The sequence below is a fragment of the Homo sapiens genome, chromosome 6, assembly GCF_000001405.40.
Source record: "Homo sapiens chromosome 6, GRCh38.p14 Primary Assembly".
NCBI classification, from domain to species: Eukaryota; Metazoa; Chordata; class Mammalia; order Primates; family Hominidae; genus Homo; species Homo sapiens.
Window position 1 is genome coordinate 9599408 of NC_000006.12, and position 6351 is coordinate 9605758.

Below are 6351 nucleotides of genomic sequence, written 5' to 3' on the forward strand. Positions count from 1 at the left end.
AACATCCTGCTTCCCTTGTCACACAGTTTGGGTTTATTCCTGGACTGTTTAGAATAATCACCAATTTCACTGACTTCATACGCCTCTCCTACATCTTGAAGGTATCTAACATTTCCAAGCATTCTGCTGAAGGATTGTTTTCCACCAGAATTTATGACCTCTTGCACCAAAGGCCATTCAGATGAGAAAGGCGGGAGCCACATCTACGTGCACATTGGCAAACTGAATGTATTTCTCTGGATAGCAAAGGGCGCATGTGCTTACCTGACAAGCCTTTTTTTCTTTTTTGGGGGTTGCAGAAGCCATTTTTTCTCTCTTTTCTTTTTTTAATTATACTTTAAGTTCTGGGGTACATGTGCAGAACTAGAGCTGCTCTTCCATCTCCTGATGAGACTATAAATCTTCAAGCCCAGCCAATCATAAAGCGTCTCTCCAGGGTGAGCAAACAGAGAAACAGGGTACTGATGGAAATACCAGGAAAAGAAAATCTTCCAGGATAGCGAGTAGGAGGAATCATAAAAGCCTGGATCTATGTCATTTTATGAAGAAAACATTCTCAAGAATGAGCCAATGTAGATGAAAAAAAGAGAGAAGAGATTTGATAATTTTTTTTAACTCGAGTCAAAATCCCATCAGAATAGCTATGGTACTTCCCATTTATATGAGTTAATAAATATCCTTTGTGATTATGCAGAGATACATTAGGTGTTTGAGATATACAACTAAATAATGTTGAGGAAAATTTATGTATCCTTGGACAAGGATCGATAGTACATTATGGTACTTGAAATTGTGAAGTCCTTTTCCATTACTGGCTGCCCTGTCATTCTTTTTTTTTTTTTTTTAATTTGAGACAGGGTCTGGCTCTGTCACCCAGGCTGGAGTGCAGTGGCACGATATCCATTCATTGCCACTTCTGCCTCCTGGGCTTAAACAATCCTCCCATCTCAGCCTCCACAATAGCTGGGACTATAGGCAGGTGCCACCATGCCTGACTAATTTTTTGTATATTTTGTAGAGATGGGGTCTTGCTATGTTGCCCAGGCTGGTCTCAAACTCCTAGGCTCAAGTGATCTGCCCACCTCAGCCTCCTGAAGTGCTGGAATTCCAGGCATAACTGTCATTCTTATTAACTATCTTTTGCTTTTATTCTTTATTATGCACTTCTCTATATCTTGGTATGTAATCTTTTAAAACTTAAGTTTGTTGGGAAACATTCTGTGCACCATGGCATTTATTTAGATGCCTTCTCTTCTTTCTTATCAAGGCTATCTAATAATGCAAGCCAGAGTTACAATTCTAGAGCATTTTCCAAGGCTCTTGAAATGCCTTCCCTTTCAGATCCATCATGCCAGTTCCCTGAACCTCTGAAATGCCCTTGCGAGTATTAAATTAAATGGTGCTCAGCCTTCATCAGGAGTTCCACAATGAGAAGGTCACTTTCTCCTCAGTTTTTTGTTATTTACAATCTTTCTTTGTTGTTGAGAATTAGATTCAGAGTAACAACCTTCATCATCACTTTATTGCCTAGAAAACAAACTGTTGGGATGTCTCCTTACTCCGTAGTACCTCTTTATTAGTATGAATTCTTTAAAGAGTCTTAAATGCTAACAGAAGCTTACCCAAGCTACAGTGCTTGGGTAAGAAGGAAGCGGGAGCAAGAGTGGTTTTGTTTGCTGGAGATTTCAGAAACTTTCCAGTTCTCATCTGGATGAATTAACTGGAATCATTTTTCTGCCTGGTTATACATCAGCAGGGACATGGACCAGAAGCACACAGCCTTCCAGGTTACTCTGATTTTTCTAATTTGTTCCCACACCTATAACTATTCCCCTTGTCCTCATCACAGCTGCCACCATACTGTATCAAAAATGTACTTGTAAAAAATGATTTATATGTATACGTGACATACATCAAATTAGCAAATTTGGCCTGATAGGTTTGGGGAAGACAAAATAAACACATAACTACCCTCAACTGCAATTCCTGAAGAAATTTATTAATTGTCATTTCTTTTTTAAAATTTTGAAATAGGGTCTTGCTCTGTCACCGGGGCTGGAGTGCAGCACAATCACAGCTCACTGCAGCCTCGACCTCCCCAGGCTCAGGTGATCCTCCCACCTCAGCCTCCCAAGTAGCTGGACTACAGGCATGCACCAACACGCCTAGCTAATATTTTTATTTATTGTAGAGGTGGGATGTTGCCCGGGTTGGTCTTGAACTCCCAGGCTTGAGCAATCCACCCTCCTCAGTCTCCCAAAGTGCTAGGGTTGCAGGCCTGAGCCACTACACCCAGGAGATTGTCATTTCTAAGTTAACTCTGTGTGAAAAAGTTCATTTTCTAATCACTACAATGTGATTATAAATAAATCTTAGAACATTTTAAATTTGTAGTAATTTGTGTAGTCATTTAAGTGATGTGTGCTAAAAATACACAAACAACATTGTAGTCATACTTATTTTGTTTTGTGGATATTATTGATTAATGGGAAGAAATGTGGCTAGAAAATGAATATTACTAATGACTGAAATCTTATGAGAAACTTGTATTTAAATGGGTCATGCTTACAAAATAAACAAAAAACAAACCTAGTCATGTAGCCTCTTTCAAAGGTAGAAAAGGACAGTGAATGATGATATCCAGCGGTTTCATATTTTAAATATAGCATTATCCCATTAAGTCATAGAAGTATAGTTTGGTTTGTGTGACTACAGCCAAAAAGACTATCAAATTATTGGGTAAGCTTTCCATTCACTGTAGTTTTGGTTATACCTTTGTTCATATTTCAGGAGGGCAATTCAGATACATACAGACACAAACAGATGTAGCAGATATTACATACACACACATATAAACATCCTTTTAAATTCTCATATTCTTTTAGCTAGTAATTTCACTGTCAGAATCTACCTCTGAGAAGTAATATAGGGTTTTAATGAAAATTGCAGAGGAAAGAACTCCAAATTCTATCCCTCCATAACAGCAACAACAACAACAAAAACGGACAAAAACTCAGAATCAACTTTTTTGGAGGAAAATTAGATCTGGCACTCTCTGTGGCTGAGGCTGAAGCCACTGAGGTCTTGATTAGCCACTCAGGTCCTCACCACAATGGTGTTAGGGACTTATGATTGTGAACTAATAGACTACAAGCTTGAAACACCACTGTGTCACTGCCAGACAGTGTGATTGGAAAATAATCTCAGCAGAGACAAACAAGTATCTCTCAGCCTGTGCCAAGGCCGTGCTCAATGGTGACACCCATAGCAGTGGAGGCAATAACTCACATAAACTCTTGTCTTGTGTTTGAAGCAGGACTGGTCCTCTTCGATGTAAAGAAGCATCTGGATTTCTTAAGAAATTTTCTAGCTAAAACAGGCCTTAAGAAAGAGATAGTTAATTGGTTGCTAATAAGGGTAGGTATCTCCTCAAGTGTCAGATTGGAAAAATGAAATATATTTATCATTGAGCTGGTGGGATGGGTCAAATCTAGCTGCCGAAAATATACAATATTCATAAAGTTTCAGTGAGAGGCCTTTATAAATATGGTTAGGGAGATAAGGAGAAAAAATAAAATAGAAACAGAATTCTGGTAGTAAATTTTGATGTCATTTGCCCACTGAACACTAAGAGGTATGTATTCATAGCACTAATTCACTGACTGCAGCAAGACATCAACATTTGGAGTCCTGATGCAACTCATGATGATTCGGAAATGAAGTGGAAGAGTCCCTCAATGAAATTCAGATTGCTACCTGATTAAAACTATAGAATTCAAAAATAGCACTAGAAATAATATGACACTGTATAAGTCATAGGTTGAATCATCATCATTTTAGAGAAAGGATGTTTTCAATTTGAAAAAGTAAAGCACACAGGTTAATTTCCTTGAGGGGTTCATTGAACTCAGGGCTGACATTGGGATTTATTCCCTGGAATATAGGGATCCTGGGTGTTGGTGGTGGTGGCTCTGTTGATCATCACGGCTGTGAAAATTATAAGCCACAGCACATAGTCCTTCCATTTTTGCAAAAGTATACTTTACTTGGTTGTAAACTATTCAACGTTCTTAAGATTAAATATCTGAATATTGCTTCTGAAAGAACAGCTGTCAGCTCAAATCTAAAGTCTAGTTTGTTTACTGGCTGTATTTTATATCCTTTAGAAAATGACACAAAATGGCAATAAAATCATTGTAAGTATTCTACAGGGGAATATAAATGCCCTTTGGTTACAGTGTACATATCTTTATACGTAATTCTAGTTTATTTTCCCTAGAATTATGTTAAATATGTAAAAAGCCTTTTCTCATAAAGGTAAAAATGCTAGATGTTTTCAAGTTGTAATTTAGCATTAGTGTCAAGATTGCTTCAGAAAATAAGCTACTGTTACTGTTTCATTCCTTTTAAGTGTCACTCAGCATACTATATGCAATTTTGCACATAAAATAAACTTTATGATTTTATGTTTGGGTTTCAGAAAATGTAAGTGGGATTAAAAATAATTTATAGGAAACAAATATTTTTAAATAACTGATGCTAAGCACCTGGATTTTTTACATTGTTTTATAATATTATTTTAAAATAATTGTTTCAAGTAATTATGGAAGAATTTCTTCCATAGACTATAATGGAGAAACTAATATTATCTATGAATTTAAAAGAGAACAATCAATATATTAGTAGATAGATAGTTCTTAGATTAATATTAACATAATTCCAAAATGCACCAAAATATTTTAATATTTCCATTTTATGATACTTTATCATAACCCTAAATATAATCGTATCTTTTTATATCTACATATGTGTAGATATATATACACACATATATATAATATTGCTTTTCATTTTGCTTTTTTTGATGAGCGAATTATTTTCTACCTTATTAGACGTCAGTATTAGGCAGTCATCAAATGGAGTCAAGATAAAAATCACATATTCTGAAAATGCTCATCTCAAGTATTGCCTTTTGGATGCATGGATTTAAAATATATTCATAATGTAAATACTCAAAACATTTCCAAATATTAAGATAAACAAATTTAAAAAGCATGAAAATTTTTCACATTTAGAAGGTCACCTGTCAAGATGTCTTTTCTGAGATCCAATTCAATAACAGAAAAATATACAGAATTAAAAGCGAACATACCTTTATTCAAGTAAAAACATTCAATCTTTATCATTATACAATAAAGGTTCCATTCTTCATTTCTACAATGTTTACGTTAGACATTTAACCATATATTATAATTAATATGTTAAATTTTGACTGCTTCTTTGCATTTATAACTTTTAAAACGTTTCTTATGACTTAGAATCCAAGAAAAGTTTTCTTACTCAATATATGATACATATATTATTTCTAATGGACATATGAATACAATAATAGAACAATTCTTTTCTACGCTTTCAGAAGTCCTAATTATTCAGGGATTTAAAGGAAATCTAAAATGCCAAAAATTGTTTTATATGTAAAAATATTTTAAAAAATGTGTATCTTATTATTTTTTCATAAATGTATAAATTAAAAATATGAGACCCATACAAAGCAAGAATTATTAATGATTGATTACCTCAAAAGATAATATAAATGAAGTATAGAGAAATTTAATATTTTGTAAGATTGAACCGTAGTGCTTCTTATAGTAAAGGCCTATAGAATCTCTAAAATATTTCTGACAATTACATCTTAAATTACAGTAAATGGAATAAAAAAAGACGTCATGATTTTCTAAGGAAACCAAACATCGCTATAGAAAATTCATGTAGTCACTAAAAGTTAATATTTTTGACCTTATTATTAAAATAACTTTTAAAAGCAAATAGTTGCATTTACAAAAAAATGTGTCTGAAATCTAATGTAGTCATTTAAAATTTACAGTGTGTTAGGTTTTGAAACAAACAAAACTGTGATTTTTCCTTTTCAGGTTACCAATAATACAAATAAAACGATAAATGAAGCCTGAAGTGAGAGTCTTCTTGCTTCGTTTTTGTGAAAAACTAACCATTTCACAGCGAGTTGCACTGACCCAGTTATAATGGACAAAAAATCACTTCTTTTGACACATGCAAATGGGAATAATTATATTGTCAACTAATTTTTAAAGGGAGCTAAATGCCTGTGTATATATGTAAACGATTAGTAAATACGTCTAAGACTTTTCATAAAGGTGTGACAGAAAATTGTCTTACAAGTGTCATTATATTCTAATACTAGTCTGATAATGGAATTCTACTTTGCTTTTGTATTCTTTTTTTTACATGTTGCTTATAATAAGGTCTAAGTTTCAGATACAGCAAAATGCTGATCTTTTACAATTTAGTTAAAATAGCCCATCAACCATTCTT